Source organism: Homo sapiens, chromosome 20 (assembly GCF_000001405.40).
Source record: "Homo sapiens chromosome 20, GRCh38.p14 Primary Assembly".
Classification (NCBI taxonomy): Eukaryota; Metazoa; Chordata; class Mammalia; order Primates; family Hominidae; genus Homo; species Homo sapiens.
The window spans coordinates 35241542-35255621 of NC_000020.11; the positions used below are offsets into that span (position 1 = coordinate 35241542).

At 46.9% G+C, this 14080-nt stretch overlaps 2 protein-coding genes across 5 annotated transcripts in view; one reads left to right on the forward strand and one right to left on the reverse strand.

Moving 5' to 3' along the window:
- Positions 1-14080, reverse strand: part of MMP24-AS1-EDEM2 (MMP24-AS1-EDEM2 readthrough) — a 162759-nt gene that overhangs the window by 126178 nt on the left and 22501 nt on the right. The gene's annotated exons all lie outside the window — the stretch shown is intronic.
- The window catches only part of MMP24 (matrix metallopeptidase 24), a 50309-nt gene that overhangs the window by 14852 nt on the left and 21377 nt on the right, over positions 1-14080 (forward strand). For 3 of the 4 annotated variants that reach the window (NM_006690.4, XM_011528500.3, XM_017027597.2), the window contains exons 2-4: positions 5299-5447; positions 10364-10480; positions 12909-13213. In NM_006690.4, coding sequence (NP_006681.1) covers positions 5299-5447; positions 10364-10480; positions 12909-13213 — 571 coding nt within the window. Of the gene's footprint in view, positions 1-1908; positions 2104-5278; positions 5448-10363; positions 10481-12908; positions 13214-14080 lie in introns of those variants that run through there. The other variant, XM_017027598.2, reaches the window with a different exon arrangement.

Below are 14080 nucleotides of genomic sequence, written 5' to 3' on the forward strand. Positions count from 1 at the left end.
GTTCTGGCCTAGACATTTGCCTATGACCTGAGTCCATAGATCCTAACTCCTGATGTGGCCACGATAGACTCTGTGATGTTCGTAATGGATTTGGATGGGCTGTGAGATGCTCCTTGCTTGAGTATCCCAGAAAACGAGCTGCGTAAACCAGGTTGCCAGCTTTTTACTGAGGAGGAGCTACTTTTAATTCCCAGAGCACTGGAACGCTAGAGTGGGCTTATGTAGAAGACCCCCTGTTCCTCACTTCCTACCATAAGCAGGAATGAAAATTTTTAAATTCCATGCTAGCTTCGAGGTGGATGCTCAAAAAATACTCCATTGGCTGACTGGCTTGTGAGTAGTTATCTGTTCAGAGGTCCCTAGCTATTTCCCAAATGGTGTAATTCATCTTAGTCAAATTTTTAGAGAACCAGTAGAGTCCGTTGGCAGATAGGGAGGCACTGGATATATTTTAGGTTTGTACCACACCTCTTTTGGGGATGTCTTGAGGCAGCTTACATATTAAAACATAATGTCTTGTGGCTCTACGCCTGTAATCCCAGCACTTACGGAGGCCAAGGCGGGTGGATCACCTGAGCCCAGGAGTTCAAGACCAGCCTGGCCAAAATGGTGAAACCCCGTCCCTACTAAAAATACAAAAATTACCTGGGCATGGTGGCACATGCCTGTAATCCCAGCTACTTGGGAGGCTGAGACAGGAGAATTGCTTGAACCTGGGAGGCAGAGATTGCAGTGAGCCGAGATCGTACCACTGCACTCCAGCCTGGGCAACAGAGTGAGACTCCATCTCAAAAAATAAAATAAAATAAAAATTAAATTTAAAAAAAGCCCATAATGTCTTTATGTAAGTCTTTTAAGGATGAAACATAAAACTTGGTGGTCTGAAGGATGAAAAAAGTAATGGTTACTTCCAAACATCCCCATGCTCAACAAATAAGCTATAAATTTGGCTGAAAAATTCCTGGGAGAAAGACAAAAAGGGAAACGCATTGGGTTATCCAGTGTTCCTTTTCTTATACCTTAAAGTATACAGAATATCCTATAGGGAAAACATTTTCCTCAAGCTAAAGCCTAATAGAAAGTAATTGTGTTTGGTCCTAAGAAAGTTGAGTGAGAAGGTGAAGGGTATGTAATTCCATTTAGCCGTCGTTTCTCCGTATCCACTCAGCACCAGGCCCTATGCAGTGTCCCCAGTCTTCTGGGAGATGCTGTCATGTCCATAAGTCACCCAAGAGAAAGAAGACTTGACCGCAAAAGATGAACTGCCCTCCATAGGACCCACAAGAACTGGCTCTTGGTCCAAGGAGCACATGGGAGGGCAGGATGGCTAGATTTCAAAAAGCAAGAGTCAAATGGCCAGGCACGGTGGCTCATGCCTGTAATCCCAGCACTTTGGGAGGCCAAGGCAGGTGTATCACTTGAGGTCAGGAGTTCAAGACCAGCCTGGCCAACATGGTGAAACCCCATCTCTACTAAAAATACAAAAATTAGCCAGGCAGTAGTGGCATGTGCCTGTAATCCCAGCTACTTGGGAGGCTGAGGCAGAAGAATCACTTGAACCTCGGGGGTGAAGGTTGCAGTGAGCCGAGATCACACCACTGCACTCCAGCCTGGGCAAGAGAGCAAGACTTCATCTCAAAAAAAGAAAAAAAAAATCTGCTCAGAATGTGCTATGCTCTCCCACATTTCCAGGCAATTGCACATGCTGTATACTTCAAGGCTTAGCTTAAATCTCATCTCTATCTGGAAGCCGTCCCTGAGTTCCCCTTTCTCTGTGGTGCTCTGCTCCCCACCATGGATAAGACACCCTTCTTTTGTTCTCCCATAGAACTCTATGCACACTTGCTTTTTAGCATTGTATTTTTATTGTGGGTTTACTTGTCAGTCTCTGAGTTCCTTATTCATCTTTATTTTTTCAGAGCCTCGCACAGTGCCTAGCCTGTAGTAGGTGCTCAGTTAATGCTTGTTGAATGCACATAATGAGCAACTACTGTATCCAGCACTGTCCTGGGCACTGGATGATTAAGCTACAGCCCCTTCCCTCGAGGATGTTAAAGTCCCAGCACTTTGGGAGGAGGAGAAGGAGGAGGAGGAGGAGGAGACTCTTACATAATGATTCCAGCCCAATCTTATAATATCTATAATAGGGGATTTGGGGAGCACAGAAGAGGAAGAAAATAACTTAGCCTGACACGTCAGGAAAGTCTTCCAGAGGTAGTAATTTATGGGCTGAACCTTAAAATATAATTTGTTTTTTGCCAAACTGAGAAAAATATTAGGCAGAGGAAAAAACATGTATTAATACAAAGGCAGGAAAGAGAATCAATATTTAGGGAACTGCAAGTATTGATATTCTGTGCCATCATTTGGAATGGAAAGTATGTTTCAGATCCAATTGTGAGAGACAGAAAGTTGTTACTTTATTGTGTATGTTTCAAGGCTTTATTATTCCAACAATTTTTCTTGTATCATCAGATGGATTTTATCACAAGGCAGTAAAGATGTTATAGTCACCTTTGGTGAAGCAAATAATAACTTATTTATAGTTTCTGGCTGGCTGCCTTCTGAAAAACTGTTTCATTTGACTTATAATAAAAGACACATCCATAATTAGCCTGTTCATATAGACACATGAAACAAAAGCTATAGCTAGGAGGGGAATAATGCCATTTCCCCAGGCTCTTTTCCCTTCATTGGCTTACTTGGCATTCAGGATAATCCTCTGAGGATGGGAAACAGGGTTATCTAGATTCGAGCCCAGCATGTAGCTCCTGGAAGTGCTTGTGGGCTCAACAAATACACGGATGTTTTCCTCATTTTCCAGCTGATGCCACACATATTTCCTGGTACTCTTGTGTCCCTGGGTCTCCATCCCCTCATGCTTTTGGGTGGGAATAATTTTTTTGTTTGTTTTTTGAGACAGAGTTTTGCTCTTGTTGCCCCAGCTCGAGTGTAATGGCGTGATCTCAGCTCACTGCAACCTCCGCCTCCTGGGTTCAAGTGATTCTCCTGCCTCAGCCTCCCGAGTAGCTGAGATTACAGGCACCCGTCACCATGCCCGGCTAATTTTTGTATTTTAGTAGAGACGGGGTTTCACCATGTTGGTCAGGCTGGTCTCGAACTCCTGACCTCAGGTGATCCACCCACCTTGGCCTTCCAAAGTGCTGAGATTACAGGCATGAGCCACCGCGCCCAGCCGGGAATAATCTTTACTTGCTATCCTTCAGAGTCATTACTTGTTGGAGCTCCTTCACCCAAGCTTCTTTCAGATTCTCTTGCCTTTTTAATGTTTTTCTCCTCTTTAAAAAAATCACTCCATGCATAAAACTTAGAAAACAGGAAAGCACAGAAAAGAAGTGCCTCGTGATACTATAACCAAAGGATACTCAGTCAATTCTTTTTTATTTAAAAAAAAAAGTTATGACATCATTTCAGACTTTCAGAAACATTTTCGAGAATAGGACAATTTCTTTAAATATTTATTTATTTACTTATTTATTTTAGAGATGAGATCTCACTCTGTGGCCCAGCCTGGAGTACAGTGGCATGATCATGTCTCACTACAGCCTCTTACTCCCGGGCTCAAGCGATCCTCCTGCCTCAGCCTCCCAAGTAGCTAGGACCATGGGTGCACACCAGCATGCACAGCTAATGTTTAACTTTTTTGTAGAGATGGGGTCTTGATATGTGGCCCAGGCTGGTCTCAAACTCTTGGCTTCAAGCCATCCTTTCACCTCAGCCTCTTAAAGCACTGGGATTACAGGCATGAGCCACCACACCCAGCCAATAAAGAATTCTTGAATGCTCCTCACCCAAAACTGTTAACATCTAACTATACTTACTTTATCTCTCTCTCTTCTCTCTGTCTCTGTCTGTCTCTCTCTTTATATATATAGGCATATATGTATATTTCTTTTTTTTTTTTAAGACAGAGTCTTGCTCTGTCACCCAGGCTGGAGGGCAGTTGTGCAATCTTGGCTCAGTGCAGCCTCTGCCTCCCAGGTCCGAGTGATTCTCCTGCCTTAGCCTCCTGAGTAGCTGGGATTACAGGTGTGCACCACCACGACTGGCTAATTTTTGTATTTTTAGTAGAGACGAGGTTTCATCATATTGGCCAAGCTGGTCTCGAACTCCTGACCTCAAGTGATCCTCCCGCCTAGGCCTCCCAAAGTGCTGGGATTTTAGGCGCGAACCACCACGCCTGGCCATATATGTATATTTCTGAACCCATTTAAGAATAATTTGCTAGCCAATTGTCACCTGGGCCAAAAAAAAAAAAAAAAGAATAAGTTGCAGATATTATGCACCCTTATGTCAGCCTCAGTCCTTCAGTGTGTATTTCCTAAAAATCACATATTCTCCTACATATTAATTTTTATATATGCCTTTCTAGATTTTTTCTATGCACACATGATTTATTTATATTTAAATAAGATCATGCATTGTTTTATTTATATTTATTTATAGTGCCTTGCTTTTTTGGGGGGTAGCAATACATATTGTATATAATCTCCTGCCAATAAATATTCTACAACATGATTCTTCATCAGGCTTTGACAGCAGACACGGTGGATTTCTGGGTGGCACAACATTTTCAAAATACCACTCTGCATCACGGAATCAGCCGTGCTGGCCGGGCGCGGTGGCTCACGCCTGTAATCCCACAACTTTGGGAGGCTGAGGCGGGCGGATCATGAGGTCAGGAGATCGAGACCATCCTGGGTAACATAGTGAAACCCTGTCTCTACTAAAAAAAAAAAAAAAAATACAAAAAATTTTACAAAAATTAGCTAGGCATGGTGGCGTGTGCCTGTAATCCCAGCTATTCGGGAGGCTGAGGCAGGAGAATCACTTGAACCCCGGAGGCGGAGGTTGCAGTGAGCTGAGATTGTGTCACTGCACTCCAGCCTGGCGACAAAGCTGGACTCCGTCTCAAAAAATAAAAAAGAATTAACCATGCTGTGCTTTTCCAGGTCTAGTCCAATATCAGTGGAAAGCACTGAATAAATGAGTAAAGAGGCAGGGCAATGGAAAACTCTGAATTCAAATTTAATCTTTATTCTGTGGCCAGTAGAAATCCAATGAAATGTTTCTAGCAGGAGGGGACACCAATAAAAGCTGCTCTCTGGAGATGAATTTGACAGTGTCTGCAGGATGGGGTGAAGGAAAAAGAACTCAGAGCATGAGTCCAGGAGTCACTGGGGTCAAATGATCCCTCGTGTTCAAGGCACATCTCTGCCCAGGTAGAACAGAGCCTTTCCCAGCATAACGCATCTTTTTCTTTCCCGTGTCTTTCAGAACTGGTTAAAGTCCTATGGCTATCTGCTTCCCTATGACTCACGGGCATCTGCGCTGCACTCAGCGAAGGCCTTGCAGTCGGCAGTCTCCACTATGCAGCAGTTTTACGGGATCCCGGTCACCGGTGTGTTGGATCAGACAACGATCGAGTAAGATTTCCATAGGACATTGTGCCTTTGAACTTTCTGGACTTACATTTGGGTTCACATTTGTCATGGCCTGTGTACACCCCATGCCCATCCTCCCTTCCTATCTTTTATTCCTGCAGTGCCATCCTGGGAAAGAATATCTCGATGTGAGTTGGGGGTGTGCTGGGATGGGAGTCCAGCCCTCCCATTAACATTCCATGTGACCTTGGAGACAAGTTGCTTAACCCTTCTGGACCTCAGTTTCCTTATCAGTACAGTGAGGGGTTGGGTTATAGATGGGGTCTTAAATCCCCTCTGGCTCGAATAATTTATCTATGGGTCACCCTCTGGAGTTCCCTGCAACGTGCATGTCTCACAGAATACAGAAAACGCTTGAATGATAATGAGTTGGCTCCACTTTTTCCATTTACCAAACATGTGCTGGGTGCCTGCATGTGCCTGTCATCCGGCCCTCCAGAGGCTCACCATTTAGTGACAAATACAGTCATCTAGCCACACCAGTCTAGAGCTCAGAAGGAAACAATGAGTTTTGGGGAGACACTTAGGAGGTAGTAACACTTAGGAGGTAGAAAAAAGCCATGAGGATGGTCCCAATCACTCAAGGAGAATGTAAAGATTCACGGGCAGGGTGCTGGGGATGGAACCCCACAAAGCCAGCCGAGAAGGGGCAGCCGGAGGGCAAGAAGCCTGACGTGATGATGTGATGCAATGTCATGATGCCACATGGTGTGGGGTGGTCAGTGGGGCCAGCCACTCCAGAGCCCTCCAACAGGAGCATGGCTGAAAGTTGTCTGCTGGGTTTAGTGACAAAGAGCTTGTTGTTAACCTCAGCAGAATGGTGGAGATGAAGTCAGACTGAAGTGGGGAGAAGCGGAGGTGAGGAGAAGAGGTGGCAAGTGGAGGGAAGACATTCAAGAAGCTTGACAGGGAGGTGGGGAGAAATGGGTAGCAGCTAGAGGATGAAGTTTTGTTTGTCTAAGATAGGAGAGAGTTGAACAGCCTTAAACTTGCTTAAGAAAGCTATGAGAGTTGTTTAAGAAAAGCCATTCACATCATTAAAGCATGGAAAAGAACAGGAGTGAGTTTCCTAAGGAGGTGGGAAGGGAGGGGAACCTGAGGCAGGTGGAAGATGCTAGCAGGGCTGGGTGAGGATCCAAGGGAGTTGGTGGGGGGAGGAACAGGAAATGCACCCAGTTGTGGATCAAGGATCAATTTGACGTAAGTCACTCCTGGACAGAATCATCTCTCTGGGTCTCAGTGTGTTCATTTGCAAAGGAGGGTGTTGGATTATGGCTCTAAATTCTAGATTCCCCCCCCCTTTTTTTTTTTTTTGATGAGATGAAGTCTCGATCTGTCACCCAGGCTGGAGGGCAGTGGCGTGATCTCGGTTCACTGCAACCACTGCCTCCAGGGTTCAAGCGATTCTCCTGCCTCAGCCTCCCAAGTAGCTAAGATTACAGGCATGTACCACCATGCTGGCTAATTTTTTTTGTATTTTTAGTAGAGATGGGGTTTCACCATGTTGGCCAGGCTGGTCTCGAACTCCTGACCTCAGGTGATCGGCCCACCTCGGCCTCCCAGAGTGCTAGGATTACAGGCGTGAGCCACCGTGCCCAGCCTAGATTCCATTATTTTAAGCATCTAAGCTTTTAAAACTTGGCAAGTCTGGGGTTTTAGGATCCTAAAATCCTGTGTGAACATTTCCCATTCCTAGGATTCTCTGATTATGAGTGTGAACTTCTTCTCCTGTGCTGTTGTGAATACAGTGGACTCCTTGGCCCCGTGGTCTCCAGAGTGGGCTGGTTAAAGAGAGCCCAGCCGCCTTTCAAAGCGGAGGTTATTTTGAGGGCTTTGCACAGGCCTCATGGCAGTGCATCCTGGGGCAGAAGCACTGGTGTCTCTGCTGCGGCACCACCTGGCCTTGGGTTTTACTCTGTTCCAAAAAGCCCCAGGCCTGTTGGATGGCGCTCAGAGAGTGGCAGGTGGATGGTGAAAGGAGGAGGCAGCGGGAATGATCCGAGGGAAAAGGATGGCATTTCCCACTTGCAGTTCTGCCCACACCTCCTTGTAGAAGGCGGGGGAGTTGTGGTCTGGAAGCAGGGGAAGGAGGAAGCCAGTTGCACTTATTAATCCAAGACCTGAGATGGGGAGTGTTCAGGGTAGAATTTAGAGCCCCAAGATGCAGCTCCAGCTCTGTGACCTTGGGCAATGGCTGCCTTTCTCTGAGCCTGTTTCCTCCCCTAGGTGCCTTTGGGTCTAACTCAGTCAGAGGTGGTTCTTGGTTCCCTTCCCAGGGACTGTTAATTAAAGGAAGCTAGATTAGCCATTTAAAGTCCTATGTTTGAGTGTCGCCTTGGGAAATGTCACACATTTATTCATTCACTCATTCATTTGGTCAACAACATAGTTCCTCTAGCTCAGCTTTGTGCTAAGCACTGACAGGAAAAAATAAAAGCTCCAGGCTTTGTTAAATTGCATTAATGAATAGTTCATTTTTTCATTCAACTAAGTTCCAGTCCTGCCTTGCTGATTTCTGTGTTTTGCAAGGTACTGGATTTATCTGTGGATTGTTTCCCTCATCTGTGAAATGGGAATAATAATTTCTTTTTTTTTTTTTTGAGACGGAGTCTCGCTCTGTCGCCCAGGTTGGAGTGCAGTGGCGGGATCTCGGCTCACTGCAAGCTCCACCTCCTGGGTTCAAGCCATTCTCCTGCCTCAGCCTCCCAAGTAGCTGGGACTACAGGGGCCCGCCACCACGCCCGGCTAATTTTTTTTTTTTATTTTTTAGTACAGACGGGGTTTCACCATGTTAGCCAGGATGGTCTCGATCTCCTGACCTCGTGATCCGCCCGCCTCGGCCTCCCAAAGTGCTGGGATTACAGGTGTGAGCCACCGTGCCTGGCCCGGGAATAATAATTTCTGTTACCTCACAGTGTTGTTTTGAGAATCAAACTTTTTTATTTTATTTATTTATTTATCTATTTATTGAGACAAGGTCTGACTCCCCTCACCCAAGTGTACTGGTGTGATCTTGGCTCACTGTAGCCTCAACTTTCCAAGCTCAGGTGATCCTCCCACCTCAGCCTCCCTAGTAGCTGGGACTACAGGCACATGCCACCATGCCTGGCTAATTTTTTGTATCTTTAGTAGAGATAGGGTTTTGCCATGTTGCCCAGGCTGGTCACAATCTTCTAGGCTCAAGCAATCTCCTGCCTCAGCTTCCCAAAGTGCTAGGATTATAGGTGTTAGCTACTGCACCTGGCCAAGAATTAAACATTTTAAAAGAATGTGCTGGGCGCAGTGGCTCATGTCTGTAGTCCCAGCACTTTGGGAGGCCAAGGTGGGCAGATCACCTGAGGCTAGGAGTTCAAGACCAGCTTGGCCAACATAGTGAAACCCTGTCTGTACTAAAAGTACAAAAATTAGCCAAGCGTGGTGGTGCGCGCCTGTAATCCCAGCTACTACTCAGGAGGTTGAGGCAGGAGAATTGCTTGAACTTGGGAGGCAGAGGTTGCAGTGAGCTGAGATGGCACCACTACACTCCAGCCTGGGCAACAGAGCGAGACTCTGTCTCAAAAAAAAAAAAAGAAAGAAAGAAAGAGAAATACCTGAAACTGGGTAATTTATAAAGAAAAGAGGTTTAGTTGGCTCAGGGTTCCACAGGCTTTACAGGAAGCATGGCTGGGGACGCCTCAGGAAACTTTCAATCGTAGTAGAAGGCAAAGGGGAAACAAGCACATCATCATATGGCAGGAGCAGGGGGAAGAGTGAGAAGGGGGAGGTGCTCCACACCATTAAACAACCAGATCTCATGAGAACTCACTCACTATCAGCAGAACAGCAAGGGGGAAGTCTGCCTGCATGGCCCAATCACCTCCCACCAGGCCCCGCCTCCAACAGAGACACAAATCAAAACATATCACCTGGTAACAAACAGATATCAGGATTTACGTAATTTCAGGCACTGGGCTACCTTCTTTTGAGGATACAATGATGAATAGGACATAGTTCCTGTCCTCAATTTACCATTTATTAGAGGAAATAAACCAATAAATTTTAAATCACAACACAATATAATAAGTGCTGCAGAGAATTATGTTCCACATCCCACAGTTGTTAAGCCACTTCTTTTTTTTTTTTTTTTCCTGAAACGGCATTTCACTCTTCTTGCCCAGGCTGGAGCACAATGGCACAATCTTGGTTCACTGCAACCTCCGCCTCACGGGTTCAAGCAAGTCCCCTGCCTCGGCCTGCTGAGTAGCTGGGATTACAAGTGTGAACCACTGCAGCTGGCTAATTTTTTTTTTTGTATTTTTAGTACAGATGGGGTTTCACCGTGTTGGCCAGGCTGGTCTCGAACTCCTGACCTCAGATAATCCACCCGCCTCAGCCTCCCAAAGTGCTGGGATTACAGGCGTGAGCCACCGTGCCCAGCTGAAGAGTTTGAATTTTATTCTCAGTGTTTGGGGAAGTCGCTGGAGGCTTTTAACCAGGGCATCCTGTAATCTCATTGCATTTACAGAGCATTTTCACATGTACTTCCTCCTTGAAGACGCACCTCCACCTAAGACCAAGAACTAGAGTTCTCATGTTGCAGAGGAGGAAACTGAGGTTCATATTGGTTCAGCCACTTGCCTGGGGGTCCTATGACTAGTGGTGGAGCTGGAGCTTATCAAGCCCATATATTCTGATTCTCAGTCTTTATACAGCTATTTCCTCATCTATGATTGTGAGTGCATGAATTAATGAATCAATCAATCATGTTCTTGTTGGGGTCCATCCAAGCCAGGGTCCCAGAGTGTAGCTTGAGGATGCACATTGCTTTCCAGACTGGAGCTGGGGAATAGGCAGTCCCTTCCTAAAGTGTTCAGTGACCACAGTGCATATGCGTGTGTGTGTGTCCTCTCTCTGCCCAGGTGGATGAAGAAACCCCGATGTGGTGTCCCTGATCACCCCCACTTAAGCCGTAGGCGGAGAAACAAGCGCTATGCCCTGACTGGACAGAAGTGGAGGCAAAAACACATCACCTACAGGTGCTTCGACTCTCCCTCTTCCTCCCTGCCTTTGGCTCCACCCTCACTCTGTTTTTCCTGGCCTGAGTTTCAAAGGCTCACAATGTAGGGGGGCCTGGGGATCAGGCTTACAACATAGGCCAAGAGCCAGGCATGTGGGCATTGGCACTAGGTGCTGAGAGCCCATAACCTTGTCCTCCTTGTGGCTTCCACAGGATGCTGTGACTCCAACCTCAGGTTTATTTGGTCCTCTGGGGGCTCTTAGTTGTCTTCTGTTTAGATGCCTATAGTTTTTAGGTTACAGGAAGTGGGGTATGAATGGTTTGGTAACTTTCAGCTGTGAAAAAGAATCGTGGCTTGCAGTGAGCTATATCATGCCACTGCACTCCAGCCTGCGTGACAGAGTGAGACTCTGTCTCCAAAACAAAACAAATGAAACAAAAACCACAAAACAAAACAAACAAAACCATGGCTTAATTCAGTCTCCTTATCACTGCCTGCCAAACCCCATTCCCTCTGATCTGGATCCTCCCACCCCAAAATCCACCTGATGGACTTCACCTGAGATTCCCAACGCAGAGTTCCAGTTGTTTCTTAAGGAGTATAAAGAACTGGGACCTGAATCATAATAGTGTCATCTTTGACTGTCTGGAGGAACCAAGGGCAGAGCAGGATCCATCTCCAAGTCAGATCAGTGGCCCAAGAACTAGATGATGGAGCCCATCACAGCAGACTGAAGCACCGGAGTGAGGCTGGGGCAAGGGCCAGGCATTGAGCAGGCTCAGGTGGGGGTGGGGCAAGGGGCAGGCACTGGACAGGCTCAGGTGGGGCTGGGGCAAGGGCCAGGCATGGGCAGGCTCAGGTGGGGCTGGGGCAAGGGCCAGGCATGGGCAGGCTCAGGTGGGGCTGGGGCAAGGGCCCGGCATGGGCAGGCTCAGGTGGGGCTGGGGCAAGGGCCAGGCATGGGCAGGCTCAGGTGGGGCTGGGGCAAGGGCCAGGCATGGGCAGGCTCAGGTGGGGCTGGGGCAAGGGCCAGGCATGGGCAGGCTCAGGTGGGGCTGGGGCAAGGGCCAGGCATGGGCAGGCTCAGGTGGGGCTGGGGCAAGGGCCAGGCATGGGCAGGCTCGGGTGGGTGCTGGCTGGCACTTCTCAAGGCTCTGCTGTCATCTCAGGTGGATCCCTTTGGTGCAGAGGCAAGATCTAAGACAGAGATCCTCAAGAGTTGAACTAAGGGCTCCCCTGCTGACAAGCACTCCCTACAGAACGGGACTTTTTTTTTTTTTTTTTTTTTTTCAGAAATCTGACAAGAGAAGGAAAGTTAGGGTTGAACTAAGGGCTCTTCTGCTGATAAGCTGTCCCTTCAGAACGGGATTTTTTTTTTCCAGAAATCTGACAAGAGAAGGAAACTTAAGAATCTAGGTTAGAAACTGAATAGACTCTTGGGTCTCTTGAAGGGGTAGAGTGGATCAAGAGAAAGAAGCACTGGGTTCTAACCCAACTCTGAGTAACTTCTATCACTAGACTTCTCTGGGCTTCAGTTTCCTTACGTGTGGAGTAGGTAGAATAATCCATGCCCCAGAGGGTCACAGGGCAGGGAACCCACAGGTAGTAACGTTGTTTTGTGAAGAACCAATGCAATATGAACACAGCGACGCTAAACAGCTAAACCTATAATGGATTAAATCAGATACCGGCCAGCTTCTAGGCAGACAAGCCAAAGATTGGTACCAAAGATTTTTTAAAGAGACTTTTCACTTAAACTCCTCTCTATTATTTGAATATTTTTATAACTTTTATAAATGAACATATTTCGTATTAGGGAAAAAAACTTAAAATTCAGAAAATGCTATCTACCAATTTCCTTTGGGTTTTTTTTTTTTTTTTTTGAGACAGAGTCTCACTCTTGTTACCCAGGCTGGAGTGCAGTGGTGCAATCTTGGCTCACTGCAACCTCTGCCTCCGGGTTCAAGCAATTATCCTGCTTCAGCCTCCCGAGTAGCTGGGATTACAGACTCACACCACCACGCCTGGCTAATTTTTGTACTTTTAGTAGAGACAGGGTTTCACCATGTTGGTCAGGCTGGTCTCGAACTCCTGACCTCATGTGGTCCGCCAGCCTCGGCCTCCCAAAGTGCTGGGATTACAGGCGTGAACCGCTGCGCCCAGCCCCAATTTACTTTTCTCAACAAACTAGAGTGGAATCCTTTATTCGACACAGCTTTGCTGGAGATCAAATGGAAAACACTGAGTAAAGCAAAGCCATCTGACTGAGGCAGGGTGGGGATCCAGAGCTCTGTTACTCAGCCTCTTCTTCAATCCCTGAGGCAGCTAAGCAGAATTCTAGGGTTCAAAATCAGATCACTGAGCCACATTGTCTCAGGTATCTATTTTAGCTCTGCTAGTCTCTGACTCTCTGATCTTGCCTAATGATCCTCCCCTCTCTCACCAGCATTCACAACTATACCCCAAAAGTGGGTGAGCTAGACACGCGGAAAGCTATTCGCCAGGCTTTCGATGTGTGGCAGAAGGTGACCCCACTGACCTTTGAAGAGGTGCCATACCATGAGATCAAAAGTGACCGGAAGGAGGCAGACATCATGATCTTTTTTGCTTCTGGTTTCCATGGCGACAGCTCCCCATTTGATGGAGAAGGGGGATTCCTGGCCCATGCCTACTTCCCTGGCCCAGGGATTGGAGGAGACACCCACTTTGACTCCGATGAGCCATGGACGCTAGGAAATGCCAACCATGACGGTAAGGCCATGAGGGGACAGGGGTCAGTCTTGGGCTGCTCAGTTGTTGGGAAAGAACTTGGAGGACATCCTAGATGAGTTTCCTGCTTTCTAGAGCCTCTTGTCCAAGAACTAAGACCGTAAGAGGGTGGGAACTGTGATTTCTGATAATATTCAACGTTCAATCCACCAGGGCCAGGGCCATGGAGATGAGTCAGATCACTTAGAAGATAGTCCGGTTGGCAGGAGAAAAGTAAGGTTAGGCCAGTAAGAAGATAAAGTAATGGACCAGAGGCTGAAGAAAAAGTTTAAAAGGGGCCAGGCACAATGGCTCACGCCTGTAATCCCAGTACTTTGGGAGGCCAAGGCAGGTGGATCACCTGAGGTCAGGAGTTCAAGACCAGCCTGGCCAACATGGTGAAACCCTGTCTCCACTAAAAATACAAAAATTATCTGGGCGTGGTGGCGGGTGCCTGTAATCCCAGCTACTCAGGAGGCTGAGGCATGAGAATCGCTTGAACCCAGAAGGCAGAGGTTGCAGTGAGCCGAGATCGCACCATTGTACTCCAGCCCAGGCGACAAGAGTGAAACTCCATCTCAAAAAAAAAAAAAGTTAAAAGGCATTAAAGCTGAAAGAGGGGTCTGAAAGTAGTAGGCTCTGGCCTGAATGATGAGGGCTCCAAAAGCCATCTTATGAATGACACGACTGGCTCTCTCCTTTGTCACCCTCACAGGTGAGTAGCAGGCCCTGAAATTATTCTGGCATCCTTGGATAATTTACCCTGCACCACTATGGTTCAATGAATATTTATGGAGGCAGAGTCAATACCGTGCAGCAATAGTAATGATACCCTGCAGGTTGCCAAAAAATTCATCATCAATATTTACT